Genomic DNA, 15,580 nt, shown 5'->3' with positions numbered 1-15,580 from the left:
AAGAAACGCCATTCTTTTTTAATACCTTCTGTTTCAATTCAGACAAGATGCATCCTAAAACTCGAAATTTTCCAGAATCTAAAATCAAGTCCATGTCTAACTGAAAGTTATTAATGTGTCGGTACTGTTTACAAAGTACATGTAGTTCGAAGTCTGTCATAACTTCCATATCTTCAAAGATCAGGTCAGGGTTAGCCTCACAATGTGTAGGTTCCTTAAAACAAAACAAAACACAGTATACTTCAAAATAAAAATAATTAATAATATGATGAGAAAAGTTTAATAAAACTGTTTATACCTGATAAAATATCTAAATCATAGAACCTTTTAGTGTAACAGACTTATCAAGGAAAATTAGTATTAATCTTTTAGGTATAATAAAGGGGGAGAAGTCCTTACTGTTTGAGAGATAACATACTAAAATATTTACAGATGAAATAACATCTAGAACTTGGTTCAAAATAACCCTGGGGAGAAGTCTGGGGTATAGATGAAACAAGGGTGGTGTTATTATCAAATGGTAACTTTCAAAGGGGTGAAGTAACATATGGGCAGTTTCATTATGCAATTCTACTTTTATAAATGTTTGAAATTCTCCATAAGTTTAAAATAATAAAAAAAAATTTAAAAAGAAATGGGTTGGTCAGGTGCAGTGGCTCACGCCTATAATCCCAGCACTTTGGGAAGCCGAGGTGGGTAAATCACCTAAGGTCAGGAGTTCGAGACCAGCCTGGCCAACGTGGTGAAACCCCATCTCTACTAAAAATACAAAAATTAGCTGGGCGTAGTGGTAGGTGCCTGTAATCCCAGCTACTCAGGATGCTGAGGCAGGACAATCACTTGAACCTGGGAGGCGGAGGGTGCAGTGAGCAGAGATCATGCCATCGCACTCCAGCCTGGGCGACAAGAGCAAAAGTCTATCTCAAAAAAAAAAGTAAAGAAAAGGAAGAAAATGGGTTGCTTTCAACCAAAGATCAGTAAGGATAAATAAGGTTAAAATGTTAAAGGAGAAAGAGGCAAAAATAAAGAGTAATTGCTAAAATTATAAAGAAATAAAATGAAAAAGAAGTGCATTATGGAAGTCTAGACTAGGAGTTAGCAAACTGTTCCTGTAAAGGGCCAGATCATATTTTAGGCTTTGTAGGCAAAATGACCTGTAAGGCAAGTACTCAACTCTGCCCCTGTAGTGAGAAAGCAGTCCCAGAAAACAAAAACAGGCATGACTGTGTTATAGTAAAACCTTATTTATAAAAATAGTCACTGCCGTAAGGCCATAGTTTGCTGACTTATAATGTAGGTTATCAGTCCTTCTTTGTTTTTATGTCCCCCAGATCATTTTGAACTTAGTCTAAAATGTGTTTTTCGTGTTTCAGTGCAGTGACTGATGCCTGTAATTCCAGCACTTTGGGAGGCCAAGGCGGGCGAATCGCTTGAGCTCAGGAGTTCAAGACCAGCCTGGGCAACATGGCAAAACCCCATCCGTACAAAAAAATTAGCCGGGCATGGTGGTGCGTGCCTGTAGTCCCAGCTATTCAGCAGGCCAACGCAGGAGGATGGCTTAAGCCTAGGAGGCAGAAGTTGCAGTGAGCCCAGACTGCCTGCCTTGGCAACAGAACCAGACCTGGTCTGAAAAAAAAAAGTTTTTCTTAAATATGTAGTTAAAGGTTTAGTATGCCCATTGGGTTCACCAATCTTATAGCCTAACAACTTAACCTCTTATTAAAGCTTAGTGTTAACATAATATGAAATCCTTACCTTTAGCATAAGCTGAGACATTTCCTTGAGTTTTTCAGCTGTGTAATATTGGCGATGTAATAAAGGATGATTGGCCATTTTCCTCAACTGCATCATGACATTGCACATTTCTGTGTTTTTTTCTGTGACTCAAAGAGAACACAGTAAAAAATAAAACCAAGCGGATAACTGTTGAAATATATCAACTAAGTTTTAAAATTATTTCCTCAAATTCCAGATAATTTTTTAAAATGCACAAATCCCATTATATGACTAAACAAAATGCATCCCCAGTACAAGATTCTTTTTCACATAAAAGAGTAAAAATCAGATTATACCCAAGTTATTGATAGATTTTTTCAATCTGTTGAAAAGACCCAAATAGAGTTGCTCCTGCTTCTCCGACATTGCACACAACTCAATTCGATCTTTCTTGGGGGGTAACTGCTTGAGAACCTGAGACAGAAAAAACAGTTTAAGATAATCATTCTAGTAAAGAGAAAAACCTAAGTTTTAAAAACAATAAAAATAAAAAACATGTAGATATGCATTACCTCTTCTTTTACTCTTCTGAGAATAAATGGCTTTATAATTTGTTTTGCATGTGCTATTCTCTCCTTTTCATATATGCTTTGCTCATCTGCTGATTTCTGAGCAAAATAAAAACATATCCTTTTAGGAATTATTCACTTAAATTATTGCAATAACAGTATTATTACACAACATAAAAATCTCCCTCATTAGAGTCTGAGTTATTTTCTGCAGAAACTTGATTCATTCTAGATGGCACTTCACATCTGAATTCTGGGCTGCCATGTACTTCTTGAAGCTCCATATGTATTTTGAAGTTTTATGATACGTAATCATGTTCTCTACTGAAGTAATCAATTTGAACTGTACCAGATGGGTGTTCAGAAGTCATCAACTGATGAGTCATGTATCGATTACCTAGATAACTCTCATTGAAAAATGTGTCTAAGTGTGGGTAAGGAGGAGCGTGGGGGGTAGAAAATCCTTTATTTCTTTGTGGAAAATGGCCCCAAAAGGAAGCTAGTGCAGACTGATGCAAATCACTTGGTCTAAAAATGGGGAATAGTGCTTAGTCAGAACTGGTGACTCTGGAGAATTAAGAAGTAGAATTTTATTCTAGGATGTGAAGGAGTCCTCCATATATTATGAACTGAAGATAGAAAATGGTTCATAAAATCTGCTAGGCCATTTAAAACACTGTACATTAAGTGGGAGGGAATTCAAATTAGTAAATGTTTAAAAGGCAGTTAATTTGCAGTGGACGAGTATCACAGAAAATTCTTGCAAAAGATTAGTGATGTGGAAGAGAGCCAAGAATCAGTGTAAACACTGCGGTATTGAAAAAACTGGGAGTTCTTGAAGACTATACTTTTCCTAAACAATAAAGAAGTAACAAAACTTTTCTTGTGAAGAGGATTTCTTTACTGTCGCTTTTAGTTGTGACTTTGGTTTTATGAACTTTTATTTCAGAATATATTTCTCAGCATAGGCATTTTCTGGATATTCTAGCTTTGTCTAGTTTTATAGTTTACCCATAAAGAAATGTTACTAATTTACGTAGCCAATTTTGATACAGATGATGTAATGATCAAACTTTCCGCACATACTATATATCTGAGCTCTTCATCAATTTAAAATCGTCATCCTTCAGAAAATTAGGATATTAACCAAGACTTCTGGCCATTGATTAGGGAAATTGCTATTTTCTTTCCCATTATATTTTGGCTGGTTTCCAAACCAATCCAAATATAGAGTTATCACCTACTTAAAGTTACTTCATAGAGCATATGCACTATGAAAACAACAAAAGAGACCTAACAGAAGAATGGCCCAGATAAAACACAAATAACATATTTGGGAGAAAATATGCATTTATGCTTACTGTCTTAGAGGAAAACATTCTTCGTATTTCACTGGTGCTACTACTAAACATGTGTGGCATAACAAAATTCAACAGCGACATGAGTTCTAACAGATTGTTCTGTACAGGTGTGCCTGTGAGCAGCAAACGGTTATTTGCCTGTGAATGAAGGTAAAATTTATATTAGCTTTTTCTTAAAGAGCCACTCCTTTCATGTCTATCCTCCCCAGTGAAAGGTGAAGGGAGGAGAGATAAATTAAAACCATTATTAATAATTTAACATTCTGTGATAAATGATATAGTAATTTAAATAATTGACGTCCGCTATTATCAACAGCAATGAATACGAAAACCATTGGTCTTCTTTTATAAGTAGGTAACTTGTGTCCTCGTATCACCTTTATGAGATGATGAAAGATTATTTATAAATAGTTTAACATATAGAACAGGTAAATTATGGCTTATGACCTAATAATTTTTTAAAGGGTTGTTAAAAAACAAAATCAAAGAATACGTGACAGAGGCCATCTAGTCCATAAAGTGTGAAATATTTACTATCTTCCCTTTTACAGAAAAAACTTGCTAACACAGAATACTACATATATTAAACTACATAATACAGATTCTGCTAATAAATACTACATATATTAAATTACGTAATCTAAATTTTACAGTAATTTGGAAAACTTTACAAACATTCTCTTACATTAATTGTCATAAGGTGCTGGTAGCGAATGGAGCCCATATTCTTCAGCATATGGCCCTCATCAAAAATTGCGTAATTAAGTTTCAGCCGTCGAAACAGACTACGGTCATCAGAACTGCTGATCGCACAGTTATATCTGTCACCAAAAGAAAAAACATCTCTAAGGTTATACCTTTAAGAGCTTGGAGTCTAGTGAAATTTAATGTCTTATAAAATCATTTTTTATTTACACATTTCTAACAGCCAGTACTTAAAGCACAGCACTAGACACGGGTGATACTCAAATAAATACTGACGTACTTGTATTTAATAATTATTGATGTACACTGTAACCAAGCTATGAAAGCTGCAATACATAATTGAAAGAAAATGTTAAAAGGCTGGGAGCGGTGGCTCACACCTGTAATCCCAGCACTTTTGGAGGCCGAGGCGGGCGGATCACGAGGTCAGAAGATCGAGACCATCCTGGCTAACACGGTGAAACCCTGTCTCTACTAAAAATATAAAAAATTAGCCGGGTGTGGTGGTGGGCGCCTGTAGTCCCAGCTATTCAGGAGGCTGAGGCAGGAGAATGGCGTGAACCCGGGAGGCAAGAGGTTGCAGTAAGCTGAGATCGCGCCACTGCACTCTAGCCTGGGGGACAGAGTGAGACTCCGTCTCAAAAAAAAAAAAAAAAAAGAAAATGTTAATGTTACAATCGGACAACTTCTACATACCCAGGAGGAGGTCAATTTGGGTATAACTTGTAAGTAATCTGCTCCATGAAGTGTTATATTTTAATAAGCACAAAAAAGAACGTGAAGCTAAAACATGTTTCTCTTTAAAACTTAATATTTTATTAAACTAGCAGATTAGATCCAAGAAATAATAGTTAATAGCTAGCAGCTTGAGACTGCATATGGAGCCTGTTTTATTAAGAAAAAATAAAATTCCGCATGAATTTTTAAAGGACAGACTCCTACACAAGAAGCCAGTAGAGAGAAATAATAACTACAGTTAAAATAGAACTTTAAATAAATCAACTAATGTAACACAAGAGCATTAAGTTCTGTGCAAGATATTTACATCAATTATTACCAAGTAGTATTATTAGTATTATTTTTCATTTTTATTTCTGCCCTAACTCAAATTTTTCATTGAGAAAATGAAATTTCATTGTATTTATTACAGATACTTATTTGTAAGTTAAAAATATAAATAATTTTGGTGGGATATCTCAAATTTTACTTTAAGCTTAACTGAGAAATTACTATTACAAGACGACTTTTTTCAATAACTAGGCAAAACCTTTTTATAGTCACCATTAATGAGGTGATTCACTAACAAAAACCTCCTATATGGGTATTACACACCAAACTAAAAAATGCCTGAATCCTCAACATTAGTCATTCTATTACTTTCGTATCACAGTTAACAGCATAAACTTTCCTACATAGTACTACTACAATTTCTTTTTTAAATTTGGGGGCTGCATAAATATCCATCCTCCCCAAATTTCTCAATACTTACGTGGTCACAATTACATTGTAATCTTCATATCTACTATGAATGTTAAATCTAATTTGTTTACGTTCTTCTTGAGAACCTAGAATTTAAAAACAATAAACACATGACTATTTATTGTGCTGTACTTTATTTTTAATTTCCAAAGTTAAAAGCAGAATGACATATTCTTACCATAGTAACAGAGGACCTTCAAAGTAGGGCACCATAAATTAACTTCCCTTAACCAGTTATCTATGGAACAGAAGAGACATTATTTGCATCTGCTACAATAGGGTATGTTCACATGGTTAAATTAACACTAAACTTTGACAAGTGCTACTCAGAAATCAGTCTTTTATAAAAAGTAAATACTGGCCCAGCAAGGTGGCTCATGCCTGTAATCCCAACACTTTGGGAAGCTGAGGCGGGTGGATCACCTGAGGTCAGGAGTTTGATACCAGCCTGGCCAACATGGTGAAACCCCATCTCCACTAAAAATACAAAAATTAGCCAGGCATGGTGGCGGGCGCCTGTAGTCCCAGCTACTCGGGAGGCTGAGGCACGAGAACCTGGGAGGCGGAGGTTGCGGTGAGCCAAGATTGAGCCACCACACTCCAGCCTGGGTGACACAGCGAGACTGTCTTAAAAAAAATAAATAAAAATTAAAAATTAAAATATAAATACCATGGCGATTGTTTTTATCACAGACCCTTTACAATATTACTCCTTATGAAACCTATGTAAAATGATCTTGAGGTTTTGTGAGGCATCAAAATGAAGGGCAGATGACCAAATATTATATTTACAGTTGATTATTAACCTCCAATTTAAAGAGAAGGGGGTTTTCTTTGTTACATTCACATGTACAAATATTCTCTTATTCTAACTTCTACATCCAACGAATTGAGAAAGAATGGAACAGTTATGTGTGTAGGAATTAATTACGTATCTGTTTAATTCTACATTTAAAAGTACTCATTTTCTCTTAGTCACTTTTAAAAGTAACTAAAAGTATTATGAAACCAACATAAATCGTCCTTGGTCTAAAATTTTAAAACTGACTTACATTTGAGTTCTTTTTAAAAGACTGCCAATATAATCAAACACACATATATAAACAAAGGAGAAAAGTATAAAGAGACCATAAAATTAATATTCATCTCTACAAACTAAGAAACCACAACACCCCTCCGACACACACCCTTACACACACTCTCTTCTACCTATATAAAACATGATAAAGTTAAATACAGTTGTCTCCAGTATTACAAACCTATAGTTGAAGCTGGAACAACGATCAAATGAGGACCATTATTACCCTCCTGATAGAGGTATGCCAGAAATGCAATGGCTTGAATAGTTTTTCCTAGGCCCTAAAAAGTTTAAAAGACAATATATAACATTTTAAAACAAACAAAAAATAAATACATAAAAATACAGAAGAAAAAGCAGTAATTCTGTGCTGTATTCACTTTTGATTTCCCAGAATGCAACTCTAAAGGAATTTCTACTATGTTCTTAGTTCTCAAATGACAGAATTGATTATAATCTCCAAATGATGCTATAACTTACTTTACTGAGCAGTGGATAGATCTTCATTGCTAGTTCATATACAATACACATTAATATGGAAGACTTTTTGCATTGCATGGAAAGGATATAATTTTGGTTATTGCTTAGACACAGTGAATGTTTAATATCCACTGAATGGTTTAAGGGCAATGTCCCATGACTAAATGGAGGAAACATATGCCTAATCTATCCCAGCAATTCTACCCTTAAGAATATAATCATGAGATATGAGCGCTTATGTTGGCAAAAGGACTTGGGTAAGAATGTTCATAGTTTTATCTTAATAGCCAAACACTGGAAATAACCTAAATAGGTTGGGTGCCATGGTGCATGCCTGTAATCCCAGAACTTGGGGACGCTGAGGTGGGTGGATCACTTGAGCCCAGGAGTTTGAGACAAGCCCGGGCAACATGGCAAAACTCCATCTCTACAAAAATACAAAATTAGCCAGGCATGGTGGCGCATGTCTGTGATCCCAGATACTCGGGAGGGCTGAGGTGGGTGGACTGCCTAAGCTCAAGAGGTCGAGGCTGCAGTGAGCTGAGAGTGCGCCGCTGCACTCCAGCCTGGGTGACAGAGCAAGCACCTGCTTAAAAAGAAAAAGGAAAGAAAGAAAAAAGAAAAGAAAAGAAATAACCTAAATATTCATATCCAACAGAAGAAGATCAACAAATTGCACTGTATTTATACCACGGACTACCATACCACATGGCAATTTAAAAAAACAAAAACAGAAACAAAAAAATTACTGATACATATAAGAACACAGATAGATCTCAATAACATTATGTTGCACCAAATGAACCAAAAACAAATAGTATAGAGTATACTGCATATACTACATAACCAGAAAAAAATCCACGAGGATAGGTATAAGAATAGTGGTAGCAGTAACTGGAAAAAAGCATGAGAAACTTTCTGGGATGATGGAAAAGCTTCTCTGGGTAGTAGTCACATGGGTGTACATATATGTAAAAAGTCACTAAGCTGTATATTTGTACATTTTACTGCAACTAAATTAGACATCATTAAAATACTGGTTTAAAAAAGTTACTTAGGAGATACAGATCCTCAGGGGAACTGAATGCTATCAACTGTTGTGGACTGAATTGTGTCCACCTCCTTCCCACTGACAATACATACGTTGGAGTCGTAACCTCAAATGCCATTGTATTTAGAGACAAGGCTTTTCAGGAGGAAATTAAGGCTAAATGAGTTCATAAGTGTGGGGCCTGAACCCAATATGACTGTCCTTGTAAGAAGAAATATCAGGCATGTGTACATACACAGAAAAGGCCACATAAGGACAGAGTAAGAAAGTGGCTGTCTTCAAGTCAAAGAGAGGACTCAGGAGAAACGCAAGCTACCGATACACTCATCTTGGACTGTCCACCTCCAGAATTGTGAAGAACAAATTTCTGTTGTTTAAGCCACTTGGTCTGTGGTATTTTGTTATGGCAATGCTAGCTGACTAAGCCATCAACTTATAAATATTGTGTTGCGCTTTACAGGTTACAAAAATAGTTTCACATAATATATACCTCATTTGATAGCAAATGCAATCTTATGATATAAAGACTATCTACATTTTATTATTAGTTTTGAGAGATTAGGTCAACTGGAAAGGATCAGATAGCTCCTGAAAGGCAAAGCTGGGGACCCCAAACCCAGGTCTGATTTCCAAGTGCAGTCACACAACTGAAATGACATATATTCGGTAATTTCTGTAAGTATTTTGAAATCCTGTGAATATTATTCACTTTTCTATTAGATAAACAGTATCTGTGTTTTAATGACAGTATGAAATATATATGGGAAAATATCTTACAATGCTAAAGATTACTTTCTTAGAGGCTAATGAGGGAACAAATATCATTATCTGTGTTAACTTTTATTTTAGGAATCCAACACACAGTGTAACATTTTCTTTGCTGAACATGACTCATTTTAAATATACACTTCAAAAAAGTATAGCTGGAGGAATAGAGATGTTAGATTAAAGGTCAAGTTTCCATATGACAACACCTGGACTACTGGCTATAACAAACTTTGTGAACTCAGCTTTAAGGCAATGTGATTTGAGAAAGAACAGAGACCCGGAGAGACCGCTAATAAAAATAAAATAGCTGAAATGATGTTGCTGATATATATGTGGATTTGTTTACTGACAAGGACAGGGATCTAAGTTACAATTTTAAAGGCAGCTGTAGAAAAAGCACATATATGTATGTACGTACACATGTACATACACAACATCTGCAGAAGGTAGTATCTAGAAAAGAAGACACCAAACTAGTTCTTGTTTAAGTGGTAGAATTACAGGTGACTTTGATTTCGATTTTTTAATTTGTATTTTTATGTTTGCAACATGTATTTACTAATCTGATAATCAGAAAGACAATAAATCTATCTTCATCTTGGGGAGGAGTGAGGAGGGTAGAACTAACTCTATCAAAAACAAAGATGAGATAAAATATAAGGTACTGAGGTGGCAGTAGTTAACTACAGTAGCAAAAAAAAGTTTCATGTTTTAAATGACAGCAAGAATACCTTTTAATGACACTTTCAACAACAAATCTTAGAAATAAAGTACACTTACCATTTCATCTGCCAAAATGCCATTAAGTCCATGTTTATGTACCAATGCCAGCCAATTCAAACCAACCTTCTGATAGGGCTTGAGTGACAAACTGGTAAAGAGAGAGTTACCAAATATTACACATCTATATTTCTATCAGTTTTCTATTAGTTATTACAATGCACATAAAAACTAAAATGCCTAGGTCTAATCTTACCTTTTAACTGTTAGATGCTATGTACACCTACTTAAAAAAAATGAACCCAAGACATAAATGATTTTTCAGATCTTCTCAAACTTTATTCTCTATTCTATTTCTTCTGGCAGTAAGAATCAAGCATTTCCATATTTGGTCATAATATAGTACCTCCAAATTAATTCCATAAATGATTAGAATATTAACTATGATAATATTAATACTAAGCTAGTATCTATAATAGAAAATTGAATTGTGTTGATTTGATTTTTAGCACATTAAAGAACTTAAAAGTATTAGGACAAAAAAACACAAACATAATTTGCTACTTTGGCCAGGTAGGTTTAATAAATACTTTCTGAATGTGTGTCAATCACTCCTAATATCAGTGGTATGTATAATTCTGAAGCACGCATTTATGTGTGTATTATGTGCATACTACGTACAAATGTACACAGCACATGTTTAGCAAAATTATTTGTTTTGACACTTACATGCTACTTTCTACTCACTGATGTTCACTGATGTTTTAGCAAATGCTAAAAGACAGTGAACATCAGTGAGTAGAAAGTAGCATTCAAGTGTCAAAAACCTTATTTAATTTGGAAACATATAAACAGACTAATCCCTGAGAATGAATTGTTTGGAAAGTAATATGGCAGAGTTATAAGGAATGAAAACAGTGGCTCATGCCCGTAATCCCAGCACTTTGCAAGGCTGTGCTGGGCAGATTGCTTGAGCTCAGGAGTTCGCGACCAGCCTGGGCAACATTGACAAAACGCTATCTCTACCAAAAATACAAAAAAAATTAGCCAGGCATGGTGACGTATGCTTGTAGTCCCAGCTACTCAGGAGACTGAGGTGGAAGGATCACCTGAGCCTGGGAGGCAGAAGTTATAGTGAGCTGAGATCATGCCATTGCACTTCAGCCTGGGTGACAGAGCCAGACCCTGTCTCAATTACAACAACAACAACAACAGAATGAAAACAATAGTTCAAATGGTTAAAAACTATTAACAGTTATCACTTATTGAACATCTATTATACATAGGCACAGATATCATTTTTCAAACATCACCTCATTTAACCCTTTAAAAATCCCATAAAGTAGTTACTATCATCACTTTAACAGATAAAAAAAAAAAAAAAACTTAATTTGCCTGAGGTTGCATAGCTACAAAGTGTTAAGACTAAGATTTTAATTCAGGATGTCGATCTCACTCCAAAGCCTATTCTCATATTCACTAAAACACCTTACATTAATGTGAAAACATAGGACAAGGCCATGCCTCCCATTCTCCAGCTTTTATCCTGTCCCCTTAATCTCCTCTTGCATATATCCTGTTTGCACACAGGGAAGGGTCTGGACATAGCTATAGTATAATAAATTGTTGAAGGATCAAACTCTGAAATCAAGACATAATTAGAACTGAGTGAAGAACAGGTAGTTGAATGATGTCCATCTTAAATCAGAATCTATGTTTTAACTGTGGGGTATGCAACTTATAAAACATTTCCCATTTAATACAACTAAAAGTATAGGTAGGAGAAAAAGCAGTATTTCTAATTCTGCCTTTTATAATTCTTTTCTAATTCTGTCTTTATAATTTTCTAATTCTGTCTTTACAATTCTTTTGCTGAATTTTAAAAAAGGTCTTTGCTTTCCCAATCAATATAATTTCTATGCTACTACTATAAAAGTAGTAACAAATGGAACATGTTATCATAGACATTTTAATTTCCAGATCCAAAACAATTATTTCTACTATAACGGTGAGAGTAAATGCTAAAACTGGAATATTTACCATATTTCAGACTATGCTATGGGCTTAATATACATTATTATTTCATTTAATCCATATTAAAAATAGGAAATATTAATTATCTGCATTTTACAGATGAGAAGTTCACTGCGGCTCACAGAAGTTAAGTAACTTGCCCAAGGTCATGTAGCTAACCAAATCTGTATCTGCAATGGTAGTGTCAGTATCCAATCCAGGTGTGATCCAGAGCTCAGCACTTAACCAGTAAATAGTAGAAATGAAAAAATTATCTTTCATCCTGACCCACCCATCCTACGGTCAACACACTGAGTTTTCCATTATTTTTATGCATCCTTCCCAATTCTTTAGTCATCCTATTCACATAAGGCTCACAATTTACGACTAATGAAACTTGATAAGGTAGGCATACATCACTTATAAATGCAGCCAAGGACCCACATGCCATCCCAACATACAACCTATCACAAATAGCCACGAAATATTCTTAATAAACAAAAATTACTGAAATTCTTCATCACCAACACACATTGGGAAAAGAGTCTATTTAACTGTCAAAATACTCACTATAACATCAAATTTTAAAAAGTGATGAGGAAATTTAAAAAACTACACAGATTTTTAAAATTTAAATAAAATTGCTTTATTCAAAATGACAAATTATGGTAAGGTGTTTTGATCAGGACATGAAATGGTTTTATTACATTGAAATATTTGTTATAAAAATATAAAGTATTAATGTGTATATATGTTTGCTGTTCTGTTAGATTTGTCTAAATTACAAGTAGCTTTGTTGCTTACTATCACGGAACTGCTGCCAATTACAGATCCTTTCTCAGCATGTAAAAGGACCAAAGAAAATGCAATTTTGATAGACTCTGAACCCATTTATTATAACAACATTTAAAAATAGGATACCTATATTCTTTTCTAGTTGGTTCTAATATTTAGATGCTATATAATCATATTTCCCATCTATTTTGACGCTTCACAGTTTTCTAAGAATTTTCATGACCAAATATATATCTGAACCACCAATTTACTGTTAAGAACATGGGGATTTGCTCAGGTCTTCTGAATAAGTTAAGTGCTTTCTTCTCAACAGAGTATTAAAATATCTCTGAACTGAAGATTTTTTATCTCTCACTAAGGAAAAAAGTGATTTAAAGATTTTCTGAGATAATGAAAGAAAATGAGGCAACAGGCTATTTTGAAGTTATTGTTTTGTTAGGGGAAAAAAAAAATTCCCTCCAGAGTTACTATGATTTCTCCACAGTCTGAAAATTCAATTGGGTTTAAATCTGCCAGAGAAACTAGTTCCAAAATTATTTTCAAAGGTGAGAAAGGCGTAAAATAGAAACAACAGGGGTACATGTGATGTGATAAATTTGAGTTTAAAATACAGAAATACAGGGCTAGAGAGACTTGTTTAAAGCAGTTCATAGAAAACAGGTTACGGATGCTGTCCGACCAAAAGTTTATGTCCCGTAAGTATGACATGGCTGCTGCAAATACTACCACAATATTAGTCTGTAGTGACAGAAATGTTCAAACTAAACATTTACATCCTACTACTTTTGAGTTAGTGAAACCACATCTGCAGTGTTAATTTGCGTTCACATCACTGACAAAGGGTCTCAGAGCTCCTGTGTAAGAACAGGGTAGGAACCATGCTGTCAAGTTCAGGATGAACAAGATCAGAAGAACCTTGGCAGATTTAGCTCAAAAGGCAAGACACACTTGATTAAATATATTGTATTCTGAACATGTGAGAAATCTTTTAAGGCTGATAAATTATAGATTAATTAACTAAAGCTTTAGAGATGGCTACATCTATAGTAAGAATAAAACAGGAGAAATACTAAGGATTTATTTTCTTTTTCCTCACTGTATTATATTTTAAACAATTTAAATTTTGACATTTTAAAATAAAGATTATGAAAGTAATGGTTTTGAAGTACATATGAAAACTTTAGCTTTTCCCTATAAAGATGTCATTTTTCACAAGGAATTCCGGAATATTTGTATTTCTAAAAGGCAAACTTTCTTCTCCTACAATTCACATAAATTTGCAACAGTTTGTAGCAAAGTAAACTTCGTCATGAAGAACTTGTTCTGTTTAGAGAAAAATGCAAGCATGATAGGTTATTCATCAGGATAGTCTAATATTTTCCTCTGTGCTAATAAATCCTTTACTAAAGCAAGGAGACAACTTTAAATGTCTACATACTAAGTACCCACAATGCCTGGCCAGTACACCAAGTAAAAATTGCTTATGCAACTCTTACCTTGGCTGAAGAACAAAAATCAAGACAACAAATTCTAACCCCTAAAAGTGCACTTAAATAAACTTTAAAGAGACTATCCATATAGGTTTTAGAAGTTGTACTTTGGATAAGATCCAACAAGCACTTAAAAAAACAACAACAACAACTATTTTTCTCATCTATTAAGTATTTCATTTAAAAAATCCTCAGTCTAATGGAAAGGATAGTTTATTACCTGATCAAACTATTTACAAGTAACAGGACTTTGTGAATGTGGTTTTGAGAGAGAAATTTTTAAAGTGATGCAATAAAGCACTTGATTTTTAAAAATCCAAATTATGATAAAGTAGACTCAACTGGGTAAGTCTTGTAGAGTGAAGAACTCCCCATATCCAATGCTGGAGAACAAGAAGCAGCAGCTCCAACTACACTTTTAGGAGATGAAATTTGCTGATATAGTTCTTTCTATGCAACAGAGAAAAGAGCTTCTTTGTGGGAACTGCATCACGTTTCCCTACACCATCCCATAGCACCCTAGAAGGGCACAGAAAAGATTGTAGCTTACTATTAAAGGCCAGTAATCATCTTGTTTTTTTTTCCATACCTTGATTTTAAATTATTAACCAATGATCAGCAAATATGCTTTGATCATTAACTTAGAAAAATATCAGAAGTAAATAAAATCAGCAACTAAGGCAATTAATTTTAATGAGATCCTACTGCTAATCTTAACCTATCAGAAATACTTTGAACAGATGTAACTCATTTTGAAAGTTGTGTAACATTGCAAAGTATGGATATACCATAATTCATTTCAATTATTCCCTAATTTTAGGAACTCCATTTGTTTCCATGGTTTTGCCACTATAAATATCATACTATTAACAGTTTTATATTATTTTTTTTAAAAAGGGAAGTATTCTGAACAGTTCTGAGTCTCCAAACTACTTAAAAATATACAAACTTTTAAAGGAAGTTCAACACAATTTCCCCCACCCCAATCTGCCAACAACATGCAAAATGTGGGCGATCACAATTACAAAAACCACTTTAATATGTACTGGCCACTAGACAGTATTTTTTTTTTGCATGAATTCTGACAAGTATTTTATTGAAAGTAGCAAATTGGGGAAATATGTAGACTTATATGATCTATTTAATCAAAGTATCTGTCCTTTCCCTTGCTGATGTATTTCTACCCCAAAAGGAGATTTAAAAAGCTGGCCTTATCATTTAAAACATTTCATCACAGTATGGGATATCATTTCATTTTATTTATGATTAAAAAGAAAATGGGCTAGGAAAGGAGGTTTTACGCTGATGCAATTAAGCAGCTGACTTTTTTTAGGATATCAAATTTGTGTATAGGA

At 34.3% G+C, this 15,580-nt stretch overlaps 1 protein-coding gene across 32 annotated transcripts in view; it reads right to left on the bottom strand.

The window, feature by feature from the left end:
* The window catches only part of SMARCAD1 (SNF2 related chromatin remodeling ATPase with DExD box 1), an 83,685-nt gene that overhangs the window by 10,487 nt on the left and 57,618 nt on the right, over positions 1–15,580 (bottom strand). For 7 of the 32 annotated variants that reach the window (NR_164736.1, NR_045644.2, NM_001128430.2 and 4 more), the window contains 10 exons: positions 9,988–10,078; positions 7,090–7,189; positions 6,009–6,068; positions 5,841–5,916; positions 4,332–4,467; positions 3,647–3,784; positions 2,289–2,384; positions 2,073–2,190; positions 1,756–1,883; positions 26–214 (listed from right to left, as the gene is read on the bottom strand). Coding sequence is in view for 11 of the 32 variants with exons in the window: in NM_001128430.2 (NP_001121902.1) it covers positions 26–214; positions 1,756–1,883; positions 2,073–2,190; positions 2,289–2,384; positions 3,647–3,784; positions 4,332–4,467; positions 5,841–5,916; positions 6,009–6,068; positions 7,090–7,189; positions 9,988–10,078 (1,132 nt within the window). In the remaining 21 variants the exon portion in view is untranslated. Of the gene's footprint in view, positions 1–25; positions 215–1,755; positions 2,191–2,288; positions 2,385–3,646; positions 3,785–4,331; positions 4,468–5,840; positions 5,917–6,008; positions 6,069–7,089; positions 7,190–9,986; positions 10,079–12,561; positions 14,059–14,567; positions 14,745–15,580 lie in introns of those variants that run through there. The other 25 variants (NM_001375855.1, NM_020159.5, NM_001375857.1 and 22 more) reach the window with 10 other exon arrangements.

This window comes from Homo sapiens, chromosome 4, assembly GCF_000001405.40.
Source record: "Homo sapiens chromosome 4, GRCh38.p14 Primary Assembly".
Classification (NCBI taxonomy): domain Eukaryota; kingdom Metazoa; phylum Chordata; class Mammalia; order Primates; family Hominidae; genus Homo; species Homo sapiens.
The sequence above is the reverse complement of the archived record's forward strand: the minus strand, read 5'-3'. Positions and strand labels throughout refer to the sequence as shown.